Below are 22,273 nucleotides of genomic sequence, written 5' to 3'. Positions count from 1 at the left end.
CAGACTGGTCTTGAACTCTTGACCTCAAGTAATCTGCCCACCTTAGCCTCCCAAAGTGCTGGGGTTACAGGCATGAGCCACCACGCCCGGTCAGAAGTCTCTAACTGTATTGACAAAGTTTCTACCTCCAAGAAATGTATGTAATTCCTTCTTAATAAGATTCTGTTCCTGATTCAAGCACCAGAGATAGAAGAAAGAGAGGTTTGTACTTTTGTTTTCTTTTTCTTTTTTTTTTTTTTGAGACCGAGTCTCGCCCTGTCGCCCAGGCTGGAGTGCAGTGGCGCGATCTTGGCTCACTGCAACCTCTGCCTCCCAGGTTCAAGCTATTCTCCTGCCTCAGCCTAACAAGTAGCTGGGATTACAGGCGCGCTCCACCACGACTAGCTAATTTTCGTATTTTTAGTAGAGACGGGGTTTCACCATGTTGGTCCGACTGGTCTTGAATTCCTGACCTCATGATCCGCCTGCCTCGGCCTCCCAAAGTGCTGGGATTACAGGTGCGAGCCACCACACCTGACCTGTAGTTTTCTATACTGGAGCTTTGACATCTTTTATTAGACGGTATTTCATATTTTTGGACAGTATTATAAGTGGCATATTCAAAGTTTTAAATTTTTTTTTTAACTTTTTGAGGCTGTCTAAAGAAATGCAATTGATTTCCTCTCCTGCTTTTCTTTGTTTTTTTTGTTTTGTTTTTTGAGACACAGTCTCACTCTGTCGCCCAGGCTGGAGTGCAGTGGTGCGATCTTGGCTCACTGCAGCCTTTGCCTTCTGGGTTCAAGCGATTCTCCTACCTGAGCCTCCCGAGTAGTTGGGATTACAGGCATGCACCACCATACCTGGCTATTTTTGTATTTTTAGTAGAGACAGGATTTCACCATGTTGGTGAGGCTGGTCTCCAACTCCTGAACTCCCGAAGCCCGCCTCAGCCTCCCAAAGTGTTGAGATTACAGGCATCATCAGGCGAGAGCCACTGCGCCCGGCCTCCACTTCTGCCTTTTCCAAATTGACGAAATAAACACTTAGTAATAGAAACAACAAACTCTCTGACAACTCTAATCTCACCAGCCAAAGACAGCAACTGCAATTAGCATGTGGGGTGTGGCCTTCCAGCCATACTGTGTGTCCGTGTTGGGGGCAGACAAGGCCAGGCACAGGGAGGTGGCTCCATGACCTCACCGTTCTGTACCCAGAGTGGACCCAGTGTATCTGACTTTACTCAGCCTTGGACGTCTCAACCATATGTGACCTTTTCAGCGTCCTATGGAACCATTTAAAGGATGTCCCTGTGTGTAAATATTTGTGTGTCTGTGTGTTTACCCCAGTAAATCAGGGGATTTGAGATTTTCTAAGGCGGTTGGCACACATCGCCAAAATATTTCCATCCTGAAAACCTCCGCCTCAGCTGTGGGCAGTGTCCACACAGCCTGGCAGCACACTTGGATCTCCACTCCCTCCTCACGTCCTCCTCAGTTCCGACGGAGGACAGGGCAGGGCAGGGCAGGGCTGCGCACCCACATCTGTCTCAGAGAGGCCTGAAAGGGCCACAGCTGGTCAACACAAATGCGTGCCCCAGCTGCGTTCTCCAGGCATCTCAGCCTCAGCCGTCCCCAGAACTGCCCTATGTGCTGCTTCCTGCCACTCGAGTGTCCTGTGGTGGTACTAACAAAGTACCACAGACCACATGGTTTGAACAAGAGAAATGTGGCCACGTGTGGGGATTCACGCCTGTAATCCCAGTGCTTTACAAGGCGAGATCAGCCTGGGCAACAAAGCAAGACTCCATCTCTACAGGACACTTAAAAATAAATTAGCCAGGTATGGTGGCATGTGTCTGTGGTCCCAGCTACTCAGGAGGCTGAGTTGGGAGGATCAATTGAGCCCAGGAATTCGAGGCTGCAGTGAGCTATGATCATACCCCTGCACTCCAGCCTGGGTGACAGAGCGACAGCCTGTCTCTGAAAAGAAAGAAAGAAAAGAGAACGAGTGAGCAAGAGAGAAAGGGAAAGAAAGAGAGAAAGAAAGTCTTTTCCCCTCTATGCATGTGTCTGTGTCCAAATTTTCCCCCCTCCCCCCGCCTTTTTTTTTTGAGACGAAGTCTTGCTCTGTCGCCAGGCTGGAGTGCAGTGGCGTAGTGGCACGATCTCCGCTCACTGCAACCTCCGCCTCCCGGGTTCAAGCGATTCCCCTGCCTCAGCCTCCTGAGTAGCTGGGACTACAGGCATCCGCCACCACACCTGGCTAATTTTTTGTATTTTAGTAGAGATGGGGTTTCACCATGTTGGCCAGGATGGTCTCGAACTCCTGACCTCAGGTGATCTGCCCGCGTCAGCCTCCCAAAGTGCTGGGATTACAGGCGTCAGCCACTGTGCCCAGCAGGCTGTCACCTCTTAGGAGTGCGAGTGCCTGGAGGTGGCTGGCTCTGAGACTGGAGCTCGGTGCTTCCCTGTGGGGTGTTATGGGGGTGTCTGAGTGAGCCAGTTCATTCCCCAGTCTCCCTCGTCACCTGCCCTGTTGTCCTGCCGCAGGGGTCTGCCCACGGACCGGTACATGTGGAGCGATGCCTCGGGGCTGCAGGAGTGCACGAAGGCTGGCACGAAGCCCCCGTCCCTGCAGTGGGCCTGGGTGAGGTCCCGCTGCCCCCTGGGGGGTTGGGAATCCGCCCTCCCACCCCTCCTTGCCCCTCCTCGAGTGTTCTGACTGCCTTCTGGATTCGGGGGGTCCCATCCTCACTGACCCACTCCTCCCAGGTTTCCGACTGGTTCGTGGATTTCAGCGTTCCGGGGGGCACGGACCAGGAGGGGTGGCAGTATGCCAGCGACTTCCCTGCGTAAGCCTCTCCCTGCACAGGGCCTTCGGGCTGGGTCCTGAATGTCAGGGCCCTGGAGTGTGTGGCCTCTGGCCTCACTGCTCTTCCAGGCTGAACCCTGCCCCCTAGGCCTGGCCAAGGAGCAGACCCCTGGTGCCAGCCCTGCTACTGGAGGGGGAGGAGCCAGCAGAGAGGCCAGGAGGGGCCCAGGGGAGTGCTCCCTGCACACGTGGCACCCCTGGCCTCCATGTGTGGCACGGGTAGGAGCACCATGGCTCCCCCACGCCACGTTCATCCCTGCTGTGCCAGGCACGGGCTCTGGGAGGGTCAGATGGTGGCACCCAGGGCACCAGACTGAGGGGCTTGAGGAGGGCGAGTGGCCTCTACAGCCTTAGCAGGGTGAGCTCTGGGGGGCTTTGAGCCAGGCCCTTAGTGTTGAGGGACCCAACACGAGATGTTAGGTGAAGGGGCAGTGTGAGCCCCTCGGAGAGATGCAGTGGCTGTCACGAGGCCCTGGACCCTGGCGGTGCAGGTGCACGGCGTGGGCAGGCCCTTCACGGCACAGTCTCAGCCTGTTGGAAGATGGAGCCAGGACAGCCTGAGCTGGGGCCCAGAGCCAGGTGGCTTCTGAGCAGACCAGGACCGTCCCCTCGGCCACAGCCAGGCCTCCTGGACCACCCTCCGCTCAGCCTCGGGCCTCATCCTGACCGAGGGCTCTTGCTCCCCAAAAGGGCTCTGATGGGGCCTGGGGAGGGGAGGGCTGAGTCCCCTTAGCCTGACCCCTGACAAGTGACTGCTCCGCTCCAGCCCCAGGGAGGCCCGACCCCCTTCCCCAGGGAGACCCCTGCCCCTGGGAGGCCCCAACCCCCAGGAGGCCCTCCCTGCAGGTCCCCAGGGCTGCACTCAACCCTGATCCTGCCGGGGCAGCCAGGAAGCGCCTCCTGAGAGCCGCGCGTGGTGACACCTCCTTCTCTGAACCCCATCCATGGCTTCCACCCAGTCCCCATGCCCTGTAACGGGTAGAACAAGAATGTTTACATGCACGGTCCCTTTCCAGAAACTTCCACGAAGTGGCCCTGATTTCATCTTCTTCCTCCTTGCAGCTCATACCATGGGTCCAAAACGATGAAGGATTTTGTGAGGAGGAGGTGCTGGGCCAGGTGAGGCAGGGCTGCAGGGTGACTGTCACGGTCAGGCTCCTGGAGGAGCCACCCTTGAGGGAGCTCTGGTTCCCTGCACCCCGGGCCAGATCTCCTGGCCTCTGACCTCAGTCCCAAGGGAAGAAGCAGTGGGGAGTAGGGTGAAGAGGGAAGCCGAATCTGAGTAAATGTCAGCCCAGGAAATGCCCGCAGGCTCCCGGTGCTCTCTGGTTTCAGAATAGTTTGTTTTCATGAACAAATAAGAGAAATGTCACTGGCACACTCCACCTGTGAGCGGGACAGAGAACGGGGCCTGGCTGGGGCTGGGGGTGGGGGTGGGGGCCTGGCTGGGCCTGGATGGGGGTGGGGGTGGGGAGGAGGCCACCTCTGGGCCCCTCTTTCTACCCGCCCCGGGGTTGGCTGCTTTCCTCCTCCTGGCTCCAGAGGCAGAGGCCCTGGAGCCTGGTGGTCACCTTGGGGTCCCTGGGCTGTGTCCCCTCTCCACTGTACAGAAAATGCAAGCTGGTGACCAGTGGGCCCTGGCTGGAGGTGCCCCCCATCGCCCTCAGGGACGTGTCCATCATCCCGGAGAGCCCGGGTGCCGAGGGGAGTGGGCACAGCATCGCCCTCTGGGCCGTCAGCGACAAGGGGGATGTGCTGTGCCGCCTGGGCGTGTCGGAGCTCAACCCTGCGGTGAGTGCCGGGGCCAGACAGATTCTTCTTGAAATGAGACCTTTGCTCTGGAGTCCGGCAGGGCTCAGACCCTGCTCAGGACAAGCCCCTAGGACCAGTGGACACTGCCTGTGGTCCGAGTGGGTCCCTGTGCCCTGGGGCAGTTGGCCCAGGAATGAGGCGGGTGGGGCGGGGGTGACAGAGGTGGGCCAAGGGGACACTGCGGCTCTTTGGCACCCAGTCCTTGGTGGTCAGCACCCCGGTGAGGTGCACACGCCCACGGGGGCGCTTTCCCTGCTCGCAGGAGGATGAGATGCGCCCAGGATTTCAACAAGCACCGAGATCAGGCCGGGTGGGGCTGTGTGACTCCCGGCTGTCCCCCAGCCACCTATGCTGCCCACGCGCTAGGCCCATTTCTGCTGGTCCTGGAGGTGGGGCCCTGGGGGTGGGGGCCCTGGTGACCTCAGCGCCCCTCCTTGCTATCCCCAGGGCTCCTCCTGGCTGCACGTTGGCACCGACCAGCCCTTCGCCTCCATCTCCATCGGGGCCTGCTACCAGGTGTGGGCCGTGGCAAGGGACGGCTCCGCCTTCTACCGGGGATCCGTGTACCCCTCGCAGCCAGCCGGTGAGTGCCGCGCCCCAGGAGCCCCTGCAGTGTTCACCTTCCGTCCAAGCTGATGTTTGCTGAACATCCCCTCTGGGCCAGGGTCCCCCAGAAGCTGGGACTTCCCCCAGAAGTGGGAGTCCCCCTCCCACTGGGACTGACTGGGAGGTGGTCACCCTGGTAATGGGGCAGCTGGAGCCAGGCCTGCCTGGCCCTTCCTGGGGTGGCCCCTGTGTCTCGGCCCTGCAGGGTCCACTCCACAGTGACCAATCTGGTGGCTGCCCGGGAGGACGGGCTGTGCTGGCTTGTTCTTCTCCAGATGTCCAGTGTCCAACACGGGGACGCTGGTACTCAGCTGCCCTCTGCACAGGGATGGGTTAGCAGGGCAGCCCCTGAGGCTGGGTCTCCACCATGAGCTGCACAGGAAGCCTTTGTGTTGCGCTGGCAAGATGAGTCCATCGGAGCCCGCCATGGCTTCCAGAGACCCCAGGCACAGTGCTGGGTGGACGGCAGGGCACGTGTCAGCTCTGTGTGGCACACAGCTGACACCAGGCTACACATCCGAGAGGCAGCTGGGGACCGAGGCCCACAGCCCCACCTGGCCCATGCAAGGAGGAGAAGGCAGCGTGCCTGAGTCAGCCTCCCCTTCGCAGGTGACTGCTGGTACCACATCCCGTCCCCACCGAGACAGAGGCTGAAGCAGGTGTCCGCGGGGCAGACGTCGGTGTATGCCCTGGATGAGAATGGCAAGTTGCTCTTTTTTTAAATTTTTAATGTTTTGGCTGGGCATGGTGGCTCACACCTGTAATCTCAGCACTTTGGGAGGCCGAGGCCAGCGGATCACCTGAGATCAGGAGTTCGAGACCAGCCTGGCCAACATGGTCTGCATGACACAGTGAGACTCTATCTCAAAAAAAAAAAAAACTTTAATTTTTATGGGTACAGAGTGGGTGTGTATATTTATGGGGTACATGAGATGTTTTGATACAGGCATGCATGCATAATATCACATCAGGGTAAAGGGAGTATCCACCTCCTCAAGCCTTTATGTTACAAACAATCCAATTCTACTCTTTTAGTTATTATTGTTATTATTTTTTCTTTGAGATGGAGTTTCGCTCTTGTCTCCCAGGCTAGAGTGCAGTGGTGCAATCTCGGCTCACTGCAACCTCCACCTACTGAGTTCAAGCGATTCTCCTGCCTCAGCCTCCCAAGTAGCTGGGATTACAGACACGCACCACCACACCTGGCTAATTTTTATATTTTTAGTAGAGGCGGGGTTTCACCATATTGGCCAGGCTGGTCTCAAACTCCTGACCTCAAGTGACCTGCCCACCTCGGCCTCCCAAAGTGCTGGGATTACAGGTGTGAGCTACCGCGCCTGGCCCTCTTTCAGTTATTTTAAAATGTACCATTAGCCAGGCACAGTGGCTCATGCCTATAATTCCAGCACTTTGGGAGGCTGAGGTGGGCGGATCACTTGAGATCAGGAGTTTGAGACCAGCCTGGCCAACTTAGTGAAACCCATCTCTACTAAAAACACAAAAATTAGGCCAAGCGCGGTGGCTCACACCTGTAATCCCAGCACTTTGGGAGGCCGGAGCAGGCGGATCACAAGGTCAGGAAATCGAGACCATCCTGGCTAACAGTGAAACCCTGTCTCTACTAAAAATACAAAAAATTAGCTGGGCGTGGTGGCGGGTGCCTGTAGTCCAAGCTAATCGGGAGGCTGAGGCAGGAGAATGGCGTGAACCCCAGAGGCGGAGCTTGCAGTGAGCCGAGATTGCGTCACTGCACTCCAGCCTGGGTGACAGAGCGAGACTCCGTCTCAAAAAAAAAAAAGCCAGATGTGGTAGTGCGCACCTATAATCCCAGCTACTCAGGAGGCTGAGGCAGGAGAATCGCTTGAACCTGGGAGGAGGAGGATATTGATTGCAGTGAGCCAAGGCATGCCACTGCACTCCAGCCTGGGTGACAGAGCAAGACTCTGTCTCAAAAAATAAAATAAAAATAAAAATAAATAAAGTAAAATGTACCGTTAAAAAATTTTTTTTTTGTTTTTGAGACGGAATTTCATTCTTGTTGCCCAGGCTAGAGTACAGTGACATGATCTCGGCTTACTGCAACCTCCGCCTCCCAGGTTCAAGCGATTCTTCTGTCTCAGCCTCCCAAGTAGCTGGGATTACAGGTCCCTGCCATCATGCCTGGCTAATTTTTTTGTATTTTTAGTAGAGATGGGGTTTCGCCATGTTGGGCAGGCTGGTCTCGAACTCCTGACCTCAGGTGATCCGCCCACCTCCGCCTCCCTAAGTGCTGGGATTACAGGCATGAGCCACCGCGCCTGGCTGTGTTGTTTTTTGACTTTATAATAATGGCCAGTCTTGCAGAAATAAAGTGGTATTAATATCTCAGTGTGGTTTGGATTTGCATTTCTCAGATGATTAGTGGTGTTGAGCATTTTTTCATGTTTGTTGGTCATTTGTATATCTTCTTTTTTTTTAATTTGAGATGGAGTTCTGCTCTTGTTGCCCAGGCTGGAGTGCAGTGGTGCGATCTCGGCTCACTGCAACCTCTGCCTCCCAGGTTCAAGCGATTCTCCTACCTCAGCCTCCCGAGTAGCTGGGATTACAGCCATGCACCAACACACCCGGCTAATTTTGTATTTTTAGTAGAGATGGGGTTTCTCTGTGTTGGTCAGGCTGGTCTCGAACTCTCAACCTCAGGTGATCCGCCTGCCTTGGCCTCCCAAAGTGCTGGGATTAAAGGCATGAGCCACCGCGCCCAGCCGCATATCTTCTTTTGAGAAATGTCTATTCATGTCATTTGGCCACTTTTGGATGGGATTATTGGTTTTTTGTTTTTTGTGTGTGTGCTGATTTGTTTGAGTCCTTCTAGATTCTGGTTATGAGTCCTTTGTCAGTTGCATAGTTTGCAAATATTTCCTCCTATCCTGTGGGTTTTCTGTTTACTCTGATGATTATTTCTTTTGCTCTGCAGAAACTTTTTAGTTTAATTAGGGCTCCTTTATTTTTGTTTTTGTTGCATTTGCTTTTGGAATCTTAGTCAGAAATCCTTTGCCCAGGCAAAGCCCTTGAATAGTTTTTCCTAGGTTTTTTTTATAGAATTTGTATGGTTTTAGGTCTAGATGTAAGTGTTTGATTCATCTTGAGTTGTTTTTTTAATATGGTGAGAGATACGGATCCAGTTTCATTATTCTACATGCGACTATCCAGTTTACCCAGCACCATTTATTGTATAAAGTGTCCTTTCCCCAGTTTATGCTTTTGTATGCTTTCTCAAAGATCAATTGGTTGTGGGTATCTGGCTTTATTTCTTGGTTCTCTCTTCTGTTCCACTGGTCTATGTGTCTATTTTTATAGCAGCACCATGCTGTTTTTGTTACTGTAGGCTTGTAGTATAATTTGAAGTCCAGTAATGTGATGCCTCCAGATTTGTTCTTTTTGGTTAGAATTGCTTTGGGCATTGAGGCTCTTTGTGGGTTCCATATTAATTTTAGGATTTTTTTTTCTAATTCTGTAAAAAATGATGACAGTATTTTAATAGGAATTGCATTGAATCTGTAGATTGCTTTGGGCAGTATGATCATTTTCATGATATTGATTCTTCCACTGATTCATCCCATACTCATCAATCCATGAATATGGGATGTATTTCCATTTGTTTCTGTCATCTATGATTTCTTTCAGCAGTGTTTTGTAGTTCTCCTTATAGAGATCTTTCACCTCCTTGGTTAAGTACATTCCCAGGTATTTTATGTTATTTTTTGCAGCTGTTGTAAAAGGGGTTAATTTGATTCTCAGCCTGGTTGCTGCTGGCATGTAGCAGTGCTACTAATTTGTGTGCATTGATTTTGTAACCTGAGACTTTCCTGAACTCATATGTCAAATCTAGGAGTCTTTTGGAGGCGTCTTTAGGGTTTTCTAGGTATTTGATCCTATCATGGGCAAACAGACACACCGTGACTTCCTCTTTTTCGATTTGGATGCCCTTTCTTTCTTTCTCTTGCCTGATTGCTCTGGCTAGGACTTCCCTTGTCCATAGTTTCTGCCTCAGCAGAAAGAGGATCAGGAGGCCGGCCGTGCCCAGCACAATAGGGCGATTATGAGGCTCGGGGGACGCCCCGAGTGTGCAGAAGGCGGAGCTGGCTGCAGCCCAGGCTCCTGAGTGTGGAGAAGCGGAGGAGGCTGTGGCCCTGACTCAGGGGCCAGGACCCTCCTGCCTCCCCAGCAGCTTCCCAAACCCCGAAGTGGTTAGAGCGGGGCCTGGCCACCGGCTGCCGGGCCGCACGGGCAGGAGGGGCCGGGAAGGTCTTCCCCTTTGACCCTCACTGCTTTTCTCCCCAGGAAACCTGTGGTATCGCCAAGGGATCACGCCCAGCTACCCGCAGGGCTCCAGCTGGGAGCACGTGTCCAACAACGTGTGCCGAGTGTCCGTGGGGCCCCTGGACCAGGTGGGGGTGCTCAGGGGGTATCGGGCACTTGGGGTGCTCTGGTTCCCTCTCTGGTCTCCCCCATCCCATGCCCAGCCGTCCCACTGCAGGTAGGGCTGAGGGCTTCATGGGGTCTGTGCTCCAGGTCTGGGTGATCGCCAACAAAGTGCAGGGCAGCCACAGCCTGAGCCGGGGGACAGTGTGTCATCGCACCGGCGTGCAGCCTCACGAGCCCAAGGGCCACGGCTGGGACTACGGCATCGGGGTGAGCGGGGCCCGCGGCCTTGGGCTGTGTTATCACCTTGTGCCTGCACTGGGTGCTGAAGACGGGACGACCACTGTGGGACTGTCCCCTGGGACCCGGTGTCTGGGTTGCAGGGAGGCCCCCAGGCAGATCCCCTCCAGGATCCTCGAGTCCCCGAGTCCCCTGGTGACACAGCTCTCTCCTTCCAGGGAGGCTGGGACCATATCTCTGTCCGGGCCAATGCCACCAGGGCCCCCCGGAGCTCGTCCCAGGAGCAGGAGCCGAGTGCCCCACCAGAGGCCCATGGCCCCGTCTGCTGCTGAGGCCCCCCCACACACCTACATGCAGGGACGGTGCCCAGTTTGGGGGATCAAGGCTGAGCCATTCTTGTGCTGGAGTGTGCACCGTGGGAGCAATGTGGCCCAGGTGGACTCAGGAGGGAACCTGGCCCCAAGGCTGCGGCCACTTCAGAGGCACTGGCTGAGACGGCCCTGAAATGTGAAGCTCCGCGGACACTCCCACACGTGTCCCCGTCTGCGAGGAGTCCCGGGGTGTGGGGCATGGGGTGGGGCTGCACCTCCCAGAGGCCCCTCCCACCCTTCCCTTCCCCTCTCCCTTCTGCCTTTCCAGGACTAGAACCGGGAACCTGGAGCCCTCCGGGAACGCCGGCCCTGGGGCAGCAGAGCCAGGATGGAGCCCTCCTGAGCTGGCATCTCAGACAGCACCCGGGCCCGCCACCCCTCACCAAGAGAGATGGCCATGGGGCTCAGGGCCTCTTTACCATGTGCAGTGACCATTTCTCAGAGCAGGACTTGCAAAGAGGCTTTAATTTCAAAAGTGAAGGAAGGAGGCCAGGCGCCGTGGCTCACGCCTGTAATCCCAGCACTTTGGGAGGCTGAGGTGGGCAGATCACCTAGGTCAAGAGTTTCAAACCAGACGGGCCAACATGGTGAAACCCCATCTCTGCTAAAAATACAAAAAAAAAAAAATTAGCTGGGCATGGTGGTGGGTGCCTGTAATCCCAGCTACTCGGGAGGCTGAGGCAGGAGAATCGTTTGAACCCGGGAGGCGGAGGCTGCAGTGAGCCGAGATCATGCCACTGCACTCCAGCCTGGGCGACAGAGACTCCATCTCAAAAAAAAAAAAAAAAAAAAGTGAAGGAAGGAGACAGCAGATTGGAAATAACACTGGAGTGGATGGGATGTCCTCTTCCCTGAGGGGGCCGGGGTACCAGACGGGAGGCTGGGAGAGGATGAGAGGCTGCCCCATGGCTGGAGGCAGTGTCCGTGTGTGCAGTCACCATCATCAACCCCCATTCGGCCCCTTCCCCAGATGCGCTGGTGACAGGGGCTTCTTGGATGTCAAATCATGTTGTAGGAGGGTGCAGACTGCGGGCTTCTGTGGGGAGCAGTACTACTGTGTCTGTCGGCAGTGGCCATGGGACCCTCAGCCCGTCCTGTACATGGAGCAGGGTGCACAGTCACCCTCCATCCTGTGGCGAGAGGCTGGCCCGGCCCGGCCAGGCGAGGCAGAAGGTGTCGGCCAAGTGGCCCCGACCCCATCCCGCAGTCTCTCAGCTGCTTTTTATTACCTCTGTGCCCCATTTGGGAGTTTGCTTCCTCCACCTGGACACTTTGCCCGGGAGGTCATCAGAGCCCAACCCCAGGCTCTGCTCGGTTGGAGAGGGGATGACTTCACCACCACCTGACCTTCCTAGGGTCCTGGTCTCACTGTCAGCTGGGGGTCCGTTGTGTGTATTTGTACAGTTTTGCTGTATGGGGTTTGTCACCCAAAAGCTGATGCTGAGAAAGGCCTCCCTGGGGCCCCTCCCGCGGGCATCTGAGAGACCTGGTGTTCCAGTGTTTCTGGAAATGGGTCCCAGTGCCGCCGGCTGTGAAGCTCTCAGATCAATCACGGGAAGGGCCTGGCGGTGGTGGCCACCTGGAACCACCCTGTCCTGTCTGTTTACATTTCACTATCAGGTTTTCTCTGGGCATTACGATTTGTTCCCCTACAACAGTGACCTGTGCATTCTGCTGTGGCCTGCTGTGTCTGCAGGTGGCTCTCAGCGAGGTACGGGGAGGGCGTCACCCTGCAGAACGGCAGAGTGACGCGTCCTCTCGCTGCTGAGCACCAGCTGTTTACCTGCCCTGCATCACTTCCTCGGATACTTTACTCAATAAGCATTTCCCCTGGAGTGTCCGTGCCCTGGTGTTTTTTATCGATACGTTGATTAAAACGCGTGGTTCCCCGTGTGCCTGAAGCAGACATTGCTGTGAAATCTTTTATTTTTGTTTTATGACACAGCATCAATTTCATGAATACTTTGAAAGGGCCATTAGAAAAAATAAGAGCCAATTTGGGTCATTTGAGAAACATTTTCAGCACAATTACAGTGGGGGCACGGGCCGTTCGGCTCCAGCTGGGTTTTCCCAGATGCAACAATCGCGGTTCTGGCTTCTCCACTGGTGGGGATGGGGATCGCGCCTTCGGAGCTCTCAGGGCGCCTGTCTGTCGGGGGCTGGGTGCGTCCACAGCCCCGGGGGATGGCGCGTGGCGTAGCCCAGGAACGGCATGTGGGTGGGTCTCTGACCTGCTTGTGCAGGGACTTGAGGGACCTCATCCCGATGGCCGAGGCAGGGGCTCCCCACGGGATAAAAGGATCCGGCCTGGCCTTGGGGTCCAAGAGGAGGGCCAAGGGAGTGGACCTGGCCCCTGTCCCCTCTCCTCCTCGAAACACTGGACACCCTGAAGCGAGACTATGGCTGCTGAGGATCCTGTGTGATGTGGCCGCGGGGCGTCCCCTCTGGCCTCAGGGGAAGAAGGACTGGGCGGCTCGGCCCAGGTCACCCTCTAGGAAGCAGAGGAGGTGCAGGTGCCAGTTCAGGGCAGAAAGAAAGAGCCACTGAGGCCATTGTCCTGAAGGCGGTGACCCCCAGGCACTCCTGCTGCCCCCCAGGAAGCCCTGGGCTGCGCTGGACACCGGGCCGAGTCTCCGTCTTCTGGACCGAGGCTCTTCTGGGCTTTCAGGCTCAGCTCGTCGGTCCATTCAGCAAGTTCAGGGGCAGACTGAGCCCTGCTCTGGCCATGGCTCAGCCGGAAACAAGAGCTGCCATGTTCGTAGCACCTGAGTACCCCCGCCGGGGAGGTCTCTGTCATCTCATGTCCCCGCTGGGCAGGTGCCCCACAGCAGGGGAGCCCTGGGCTCTCTCTGTCCCAAGCTCCCAGCTGCATCCAACCTCAGCTCACAGTTGTGGATCACCCTGACCTTCCAGAGTGCCCCTCCCAAGGGGCAGACCCAGCATCCTGGAGTCCCCACCCCGAGCTGTGCTGAAGGACAGCTGGGGCGGTAGGGCCAGGACCAGACCAGGCCTCTGACAAAGTCTCATCGAAATGAAACCAATGTGCCCGGGCCACCTTAAGGGGCCCTGACCAGGAAAGTTAGGCCTGAAGCTGCCAATGCCAGATCCTCAGGGTGTTACCTGTGTCCTTACGTGGCTAGGCCTGACCCCAAGTGCCACAACCCCCAACTTGGGGAGGGCAGGGCCACCTGGTGGGGACGGGCCAGCCAGAGCCCTTGGTCTCAGCTGTGGCAGCCACATCCCTGGCCCGGCTTGGCCCTGAGGGCCTTTGGGACATCTCTGGGCAGAGGCATGAGGGAGGGGAGAGTCCAGTAGCCAAGTCCGGCAGAGCCAGTGGGGCAGGAACGCCCAGCAGAAGGAAGCTGGGCTTGGGGCAGCAGAGACGTGCCAAGCCACCAGGCCTGGCCATGAGGATGAAGCACCTGGGCGGGGGAAGGGACGTACCTGCCACCCCAAGGCTCCACCAGGCAGAGAGACCCAACGGGCTGCCAACTCAAACCAGAACCCAAGCACGTCATAATGTCCTACAGACAGCATGGTGCCAATTATATGATAACCCCACATCAGTGAGAATAAGTAACGGCGGTGGCAGGGGCTGGGTGGGGGGCACACTCGCTCCCCACACAGGCCAGGGCTGAGCAGGAGGCCTCAGAGCTGCTCTTGGGGAGCAACCCAGGGCCTTGGGGCTTCTCTCCCATGCCCAGAAGGGCTGCACCAGGAACACCCAGCCCTGTCTCCTGCTCCAGTTCCACAGCACCCCTCACACCCTGCCCCAGACCCTCCACAACCAGGCACAGCCTGGAGTCAACACATCCAGGAGCCCCAACTTGGGAGGAGGGAGGAAGAGACTCCAGCCCCTCCCCACCATTCAACTTTTAAGGATGAATTGGAGGTCATCTGATTAGAGTTTCTGGCAGCTCCAATCATCTCTGATTGGCCCCACTCCCCGAGCAGCCTTAGGCTCTGCCGGGCTTGTCCCGGGCCTCAGTTTACCCCAAATGAGGATGCTGAGCCCAGGCCCCATGTAGCCCTATAACAAAGGTTGGAGAGGGGGTCCTTGCTGGGGCTTTGGCCTTGGAAAACCTGCAGGTAAACCTTTTCCTGGGATCTCCCCTTGCCCAGAAGTCAGGGTGAAGAGACGTTAGTTCCAAGGCTAAGGAGGCCTTTCAACTCGGGCTGAGACTGCCTGGCTCAATGAAAAATCAGGATCCAACTGGGCCCTACCTAGAGGTTTGGGCCTCACGCCGCTGTCCAGGGCCACAGCCGCAACTAGGCCACTCGCTGGTCCCCAGCGGGGCAGGAAAAATTGCTCCAGGGAAGTGGCTGAATGTTCGGGGGAAAATGGAACCGCTGAGGCCGTGTCCTTGTGGGGTGTCACCGCCCATCTGGGGCTCGTGGCTTGGAGGGACTGGGGCTGGGAGGAGCAGGCCAGGCAGCTGCGGCCACCGCCACCCCCACCCAGGACTGGGCGCTAGGTGCCCTCTCGGAAGCTGTGGATCTGCGTGGAGTACCTCTGCAGGTGGCCCTGGGGCTGGGCCTCCGTGGCCCCCAACGCACCCCCAGCCACCTGCTGCTGCTGCTGGTAGTGCTGGTAGAGCTTGGGGCCCGGCCCCTCCAGGCCTGGGAGGCGGCTGCTGGACATGGTCAGGATGGTGGCCGTCAGCGATTTGATGTAGTTCTTGGCCAGCGTGAGCGTCTCGATCTTGGAGAGCTTCTTGTCCGCGCGCACGTGGGGGATGACTTCACGCAGGGCCTGGAAGGCGTTATTTAGCTTGTGCATCCGCTGCCGCTCCCTCTCGTTGCTCTCCAGCCGCCGCTGGATGCTGCTGTCACGACGGCCACCGGGCCCGGAGGGTCCTGGCCGCCTGCGCCTGCCCTCGCCCGGAGCCCTTGCTGCGGCCCGGGCCGGCCGGCTCCGCAGACCCTTGGCCGGCTCTGGCCCCGGGTTCGGCAGGGACCCGTCGGGCGTCCCCTCCCCGGGGGTGGCCTCTGTGTCCTGCACCGGGGCCCGGCGCCGTGGGGGCCGGTTCTTGGTCTTCATGGCCCTGGACTGGCTGTCCTAGGAGGTGGCGGCAGGAAGGTGAGGCCCTTGGAGCTGAAATCCAGAACACAGGACACTCTGTGGTCACCCCACATGGGCAGGGGACCCGCTGGGGTGCCGTCCCTGGCAGCCTCCTCCTTGCTGACAGCAATGGTACCAGGGGCAGGGGTTGGCGCTCTGCGACTGGAGGTCCTTCTGTTCACACGCTTAGCCCTGGGCTGACCCCACACACACCCACGCCCTTGCTTTACCTCAAACAGACCTCTGGAATCTGTCCCTGTCCCTGCGTCCCCCTTCCCCCAGGATGACTCATCCTGACCCCTAGATCTTCCTCTGGCTCATGCCCCTCACTGCCCCCAGAGTGCCTCCTGAGCTCGGTGACCTTTGACACTTTGCCTAGAATGCGTCCCCCACCCTAGCTTAGGGGGCGCCTCTGCCGGAGGCGGCACTGACTTCATCCCGTGGGCGGGCAGTGACTCCAGCCACCAGGCTCTCACTGTCCTGCCCCGCTGGACGTGACACGTGCAGGGACAGCACTGGGGCCAGAACCGCTGCGGACATGGGACAGCACTGGGGCCAGAACCGCTGCGGACATGGGGCAGCCGTGGAGGTCAGAGGTCGGCAATGGCCAGGGCCTGGCGGCAGCCCCCAATCCCACCACGTGGATGGGCCCCGTGGAGCCTCCAGACAGACCAGAAGTCCCCCACCCGGGTTTCCCCACAGCCCCCACAACCCCCACAACCCCACCGCCAGGTCCTGCCCCTGGGTCCCCTCCCCGCGGCCCCACCCGAGTTCCCAGCTCCCGGGTTACCTGGGGATCCGCGGCCACACGCGCCGAGGCTGCCCACGGGGGACAAGGACACGTCGCTTTAGCCGCCCCGGGAGGGGCCGCGGACGCATGCAAATGAGCCCTCGGGGCGGGGCCGGGGCGGGGCCGGGGTCCGGGTGTCCCGGCGGGCGCTGGGCAGCAGTGGCGGCACCTGCGGGCGGGCGGGCGGGAGGCCGGCGCCTGGGGCTCCCGGACCAGGTGGCCGCGCAGCCCCGCCCCCAGCTTCCGCCCCGCCCCCAAGATAGAAAACCTCCCCCGCCCGCCTCTCCCCATCCTCCCCCTACTGCCCCCCACCCTCGTCCCCCAAGACAGCCACCCCCGCCCGCCTCTCCCCACCATCCCCCGACAGCCCCCGACCCTCGTTCCCCCAGACAGCCTCCCCCACACGCTTCTCCCCATCCTCCCCCGACAGCCCCCCAACCGCCCCGAGATAGCTTCCCCCCATTCGTCTCTCCCCATTCTCCCGCTACAGCCCCCCCAAGACAGCCTGCGTCCCCACCTCCCCTACTCCCGTCCCCCGACAGCCTCCCCACAACCTGCTTTTCCCCATCCTCCCCCTCAATTTCCACTCGCGCCTTTCCCACCCGCCTACCCCATATCCGTGCCCGAGACAGCCTCCCCCCGCCCGCTTTCCCCGACCCTCCCCCTGACACAGCACCCCCGCATCCATGCCTCCCGCGATCCTCCTTGCCCGGCCTCTCCACTCGTGGCGGGGCCCGGGCCCATTCCGCCAATGGGAAACAGGTCTCTGGGAGCCGCCGGAAGGAGGGGCAGCCCCGATTCAGGCTCAGCACACAGATCCCAAGTCCCAGGAGCACTCCGGGACGAGCCGCTCCGCGAAAACGCGGGCATCTCCCAGGGGATCCCCCGCCCCGCCGCCCGGGATGTTTAGGGGAACCTGGGGCTCCTACGGGCTGGGGGCGGAGCCCGAGTTGGGGTGGGGGTGGGGGGCTCCTTGGGCAGGTGTGCAGTCCTTGGGAACGCCTGTTTTGTTTGTTTGTTTGTTTTTGAGACGGAGTTTCGCTCTTGCTGCCCAGGCTGGCGTGCAATGGAGCGAGATGATCTCGGCTCACCGCAACCTCCGCCTCCCGGGTTCAAGCGATTCTCCTGCCTCAGCCTCCCGAGTAGCTGGGATTACAGGCATGCACCACCACGCCCAGCTAATTTTTGTATTTTTAGTAGAGACGGGGTTTCTCCACGTTGGCCAGGCTGGTCTTCAACTCCTGACCTCAAGTGATCCACCCGCCTCGGCATCCCAAAGTGCTGGGATTACATGCGTGAGCCACCACGCCCAGCCAAAGCAGCATCTTGCTCAGGGACTATTCGGGGCTGCTAGGGGTGCGGTGACTGCACGCTGCTGGGGGTGCGGTGAGTGTCACGCTGGCTGGCAGGCCTGGGCTCCACACTCATGGGTCTCGCCGCTCTGTCTCAGTACCTCTGGGTGGGAACTCAGAGGGGCCATAGTGGGGCGGGGGGCGGGCACAGAAAGGCTAGCTTGGAGCCAAGGTTAGTTAGTTCTTCTCTTGGCCTAAAGCTCATTTGAGGCTGGGCCAAATGAGGTCCTTGGAAATGAAAATGCTTCCGAAATTCATGAGTGCAAAGGCATGGTTTATAGACATGCTTCAAGGTGGCAGGAACACTAAACAGGTTTGGTTTTCCAGTGGTTATACAAAGCTTTATGTCCTCAGGAGTGCGGGGAGTTTAGGTCTGTCACACAAGCTCCAGAGGGACCAGGGCAGGGGCCTGGAACACAGGCTGCGGGCGCTCACAGCAGGGCAGGGCCAGGCCACCCACCCAGGTGGCCCTTGCACGGTGGACAAAACACAGAAGAAACGCGGCCAACAGAGTTTATAAATATATAACTATATTTATTTTGAATATTAAATAGTTTTTAAATTACAAGCAATTTATTGAATCACACTATGCATCAATATACAGTAAAAATCTTACAATTTAAAAATGTACACAATTTAAACTGAAAGTTCATTGACTATTATATTGCCATGAACCTCTTCTGCCTGTGTTAAAGCACAGCAGGGAGGCCTGGTGGGTGTGACGGCCCCCTACGTCCTCCTCTGCAGACGGAATCCGACGGTGGATCCATACACCAGCCCCATGATCAAGATCCCGCTCGGCCCACGTAGGCCTGAGTGCTTAACCAGCACGTGTCCACACCGGTCAAACTGATCTTCACAGGCTGTTGGTAATTCAACACTGTCAATGCATCTTTAAGAATTTCTTTATAGATGAAAGAGAATGTTCTTTGTTAATAAAGACTTGAGCCAACCCCATTGCTACTTAGGAATATTGTTTTGGAGATTTCCATCGGAAGTCACTGCGTATACCCATTCTTTTTTTAAGGCTACTTCCCATAAGGCTCATGTTTTGAAGCCACTCTAACAGAAGCCCAACCTCTGGCGTCTAACCCTTGGTTCACTTCTGAATTTTCAGATGATGGGCTGAGTTAAGGAAGAGCAGGCGCTGCCTTCCTTCCACCGGGGCCCTGGGGACAGGCATGCAGTAGGTCCTTAACTCTACAAATACCTTATTTCGGGAAACAGGAATAAAAGGAGGGGTTTGGAAAGGCCTTTTACAGCAGCAAGACAAACCAAGACTTTTCTTAGATAAACCCATTTCTATAGAAACGATCGAACCTGTACATTTAAAAATAGAACGAACGTTGTTTGCAATTCGGCTTGGTCGAGCTTTCTGCACCCTTACGGTGAATGGCTTCTCGTCCACACACACAGGCCAAGTCTCAGAAGGATGTGGGGAGCACTTTTTCTGGGTTGCCCTTTCTGGCTTATTGACAGGGTCATTCAAAAAGACAAATTCGCATCTAGCTAGTAAGGAAATGAAAACTAGATTATTTTTGTTATAGGATTTAAAATGTACAAACTCCACCAAAACAGGACTAATTCAGATTGATTCTGGGTTGCTACCCCATAGAAGGCCAGAAAATATTCTAACCTTCCCCCACATTATCTAGAGAATGCCACTGATTTAGTTCATTGTACAACTTATTAGAACAAGTACATTTTGAAAACCCACCACTGATAACCAACTTATTAGTTAAAAAATAACAAAACAAACAACAAAAACCTGAACTGAACACAGCACATGCTGACATTTCAAAAATGGGCTGCAATTTTTATTCTACTTAAATTTCCTGTGTATTGCTTGGATTTCAAAAAAACATGTTAACCCACGTGTTGATTATAAATATAAAATCTCGCCCCTCCATGCAACACCACACTAAGATCCACTACCCCCCAACTCAATGTATAAAATGCTTTTTTGGCAATTAATTATGAGTGACTCAAAATAAATAAAAATGGGAATTATGTTATGAAAAAAATTGTTTTTTTTTTTGAGACAGGGTCTGGCTGTTACCCAGGCTAGAGTACAGTGGCATGGTCTCAGCTCACTGCAACACCCATCTCCTGGGCTCTAGCCATCCTCCCACCTCAGCCTCCCAAGCAGCTGGGACTACAGGTGCACACCACTATGTGCCCCAGCTAGTATATATATATATATATATATTTTGTATTTTTAGTAGAGACGAGGTTTCGCCATGTTGCCCAGGCTGGTCTTGAACTCCTGGGCTCAAAGTGATCCGTCCGCCTCGACCCCCCAATGTGTTGGGATTGCAGGCGTGAGCCACCGCGCCCGGCCAAAATCTTAATCCTAGTGGAAAACTGACAGCCCCAAAAGGTTAATAAATGTACTCGAGGCTGACACTGTATAAGACGACGACAGATTCCATGATCTGTATGACTTTGGTCATTAAATCTGAACTCCTTAAACCTGCAATTGAAAAAGTAGTATAATCACGTCTCATTTCTCTTCAGCCAAGACTAATCTTAGATGTAAAAACTGAGAAAACTCAGGAAGTCCCCACAGCAAGAATTCAGAGTCATGACAATTTTGGCAAAATCATCTTCTAATGCCCTGTTAATTAAAAAAAAAAAAAAAATTCGCGCATCCCGAGACAGTGGTGCTCCCCACATAGCCCAGGTGGGCACCGCATCCACCCCATGCCTACACAGGAGGGGACTCTCTCCATCCTGAACTTCTTGCTTTGGAAAGTTATTGCTTAGTATAAAAAATGAGAGGAGTAGGGTGGAACTGGCAATGAAGGTCATTTGCTGCGCACTCTCTGGCAACGTCCGCCTGCATTTTGCACTAGGACTCAACTTCCTTCCGTGTACCCCAGGCGGCCCCTGCACGGGTCTGGAGAGCACCCCAGGTTGCGCTGGAGTCTGGAAACATATCAGCACCGGAAAATATGTTGGGTGAAGGGTGAGTATGAGGGGACTGCAGGCCCAAGGACCCCCGAAGGAACGGCTGCCTCCCCAGCACAGCACAGCCGCGCTGCACCAGCCACCGAGGACTTCCTTATGTCAGAGCAGAACTCAGGGAGGGAGGTGTGAGGTCGCCCATGACCACAGGGGCTCGTGACGATGTGACGAAGCTACACTGGGAGCACTCGGGCCCTTTCAAAGCCAGAAGAGAACCTGGGGCTTAATGCAGAACGGAGGGTCCGTGAGATGAGTCCCGGGCCATGCAGGACCACCCAAGGCCCCGACCCGAACTATGTGTCGGCTGCTGATGCTCTGCCGTCGGCCGTCGTCCCTTGTCCATCCCCCTTCACAGCTGCAGGATGTGGTGTTATCTCATCCCACATGGATAACCACAGACTGGCCAGGCCCAGCTGGACGTGACGTGGAGTGGCTCGGAGGAGAAGATTCGGCTGTGGAGGTTTTTTTAAAGCTCAAGTCCCCACCACCTGAAGTGTGCACACATCATCAAGTCGAACGGTCCCCCACGGCTGGTATGCTCTGCGGAGATGAGTCTGCCTGAGTTCCCCGGCTTCTTGAAGGAAGGACTGACAGGAACACGGAAGCTTCCCAGCAGCCTGGCCTCCGAAAACCAGGCAGAAGAGCTGCGCGGAGGGAAGCGGTGCGGTGCCCCGTGCAGGGTGCAGCTCTCTGGACCTGCCACGCCAGCACGTCCCCAGGGATGGGCCGGGTCCATCTGAGGTCTGCGGCCACAACCTGTTGGTTTTTACCAAAAGGGCTTTAAAAAATGGGATGTGGGGTGGGAGAATGACAAGGAGAGGCTGCAAGACCTCTCAGCTCCTCAGAGAGAAGCCTCATTTGCTGCGGCAAAGCCGCTTCATCAAGAAGAGACAAAAATGCATTCAAGTCCATCAACAAAACAGTGGTATTTTGGACTCAATGAAAATATTTCCTATATGAACATAAAACACTAACATTCAGAATCATTTATCATTTATGAAAGAGTACCATATGTACAATCCCAACAATCCTAGACACAGTAGAACACTCAAAATATTTAAGCTTCACAAGTACCATGCAGCGCAAACTATAAAACAGAAAAAAAATCAAACTAGTGGCTAGCATCGGCTTGACCTGCCTCATTCCCCTCGAATAACTGAAGATCCTGTACAACAATGGAGACTCTCGGAACATTTATCCACAGTGCAATTACAGAAAGCAGTTCGTGATTTCTCTAGAAATAATAAATATGGCTCACTGGTGACCATTCCCCTCACGTGTCCTCTGTGGTGCCCACACGTGCGCCGGGATGTGCAGGCGTGGACGCAGAGACGCCCCTGTGGAAAGCACACATGCGGTGCACACAGCTCCACACGCGCGCGCACATGGAGGCTGTGCCCCTGCCTCCCCCGACGGCCAGCGCATGAGCACTGCCTGGGAGGCCGCGGCCGCGGGTGCACGGGGCACTGAGGGACGCCGGCTCCTGGACACGGCCTCGCTCTGCACCTGGGCTCCCGAGGGCCCCGCCTTGAACGCAGCTAAGAGCCGTCTCCCTCTTCACCTCTGGATTCTTCCTCCCAATCTCATGTCAGCAAATGGCGAGTGGATGTCGCTGCTCGGGCTGAGGGCGCAGGGGCGCCGCTCCAGGGGAGCAGCCTCGGACCCGAGCGTGCGCGTTGGCAGCCACCTAGTCCTTTTCTCCGTCTTCGCTGCTTCCTGTTGAGGAGAGAGGAAGCGAGACGACAAAGCTGGGTTTTTAAAATGATCAGACAGGCATGGCGTGGATGGCATGTGCGCTGCACCACAGGAACGGAAGCGGGTG

At 56.4% G+C, this 22,273-nt stretch overlaps 3 protein-coding genes across 7 annotated transcripts in view, besides 2 other annotated features; 1 reads left to right on the top strand and 2 right to left on the bottom strand.

Annotated features, from left to right (window-relative positions):
• The window catches only part of TECPR1 (tectonin beta-propeller repeat containing 1), a 37,609-nt gene extending 24,602 nt beyond the window's left edge, over positions 1–13,007 (top strand). For all 4 annotated transcript variants that reach the window (XM_047420119.1, XM_005250253.5, XM_017011937.2 and 1 more), the window contains 9 exons: positions 2,529–2,625; positions 2,751–2,830; positions 3,913–3,969; positions 4,461–4,641; positions 5,110–5,245; positions 5,878–5,970; positions 9,589–9,695; positions 9,820–9,939; positions 10,128–13,007. In XM_047420119.1, coding sequence (XP_047276075.1) covers positions 2,529–2,625; positions 2,751–2,830; positions 3,913–3,969; positions 4,461–4,641; positions 5,110–5,245; positions 5,878–5,970; positions 9,589–9,695; positions 9,820–9,939; positions 10,128–10,241 — 985 coding nt within the window. In that variant the 3' untranslated portion in view covers positions 10,242–13,007. The remainder of the gene's footprint in view (positions 1–2,528; positions 2,626–2,750; positions 2,831–3,912; positions 3,970–4,460; positions 4,642–5,109; positions 5,246–5,877; positions 5,971–9,588; positions 9,696–9,819; positions 9,940–10,127) is intronic.
• Positions 9,286–9,345: an enhancer, noted in NCBI's record as "active region_26306". NCBI's record gives its function as "activates an Ori minimal core promoter by ATAC-STARR-seq in GM12878 lymphoblastoid cells {active_cell/tissue: GM12878}" and the evidence as "EXISTENCE:reporter gene assay evidence [ECO:0000049][PMID:35858748]".
• BHLHA15 (basic helix-loop-helix family member a15) lies at positions 12,174–16,192 on the bottom strand. The gene is made up of 2 exons (NM_177455.4): positions 16,133–16,192; positions 12,174–15,375 (listed from the first exon to the last, which is right to left on the bottom strand). The coding sequence occupies exon 2, from the start codon at positions 15,319–15,321 to the stop codon at positions 14,752–14,754; it is 570 nt and encodes a 189-aa protein (NP_803238.1). The 5' UTR covers positions 15,322–15,375; positions 16,133–16,192; the 3' UTR covers positions 12,174–14,751.
• Positions 16,131–16,320: a silencer, noted in NCBI's record as "silent region_18390". NCBI's record gives its function as "represses an Ori minimal core promoter by ATAC-STARR-seq in GM12878 lymphoblastoid cells {active_cell/tissue: GM12878}" and the evidence as "EXISTENCE:reporter gene assay evidence [ECO:0000049][PMID:35858748]".
• LMTK2 (lemur tyrosine kinase 2) overlaps positions 17,993–22,273 on the bottom strand; it is a 102,777-nt gene continuing 98,496 nt past the window's right edge. For both annotated transcript variants that reach the window (NM_014916.4, XM_011515981.4), the window contains exon 14: positions 17,993–22,167. In NM_014916.4, coding sequence (NP_055731.2) covers positions 22,139–22,167 — 29 coding nt within the window. In that variant the 3' untranslated portion in view covers positions 17,993–22,138. The remainder of the gene's footprint in view (positions 22,168–22,273) is intronic.

This window comes from Homo sapiens, chromosome 7 (assembly GCF_000001405.40).
Source record: "Homo sapiens chromosome 7, GRCh38.p14 Primary Assembly".
In the NCBI taxonomy this organism is placed as follows: domain Eukaryota; kingdom Metazoa; phylum Chordata; class Mammalia; order Primates; family Hominidae; genus Homo; species Homo sapiens.
The sequence above is the reverse complement of the archived record's forward strand: the minus strand, read 5'-3'. Positions and strand labels throughout refer to the sequence as shown.

What these genes read in the sequence shown, in the direction of transcription:
- BHLHA15 (NM_177455.4), bottom strand. Translation starts at nt 15,321, where the DNA reads ATGAAGACCAAGAACCGGCCCCCACGGCGCCGGGCCCCGGTGCAGGAC.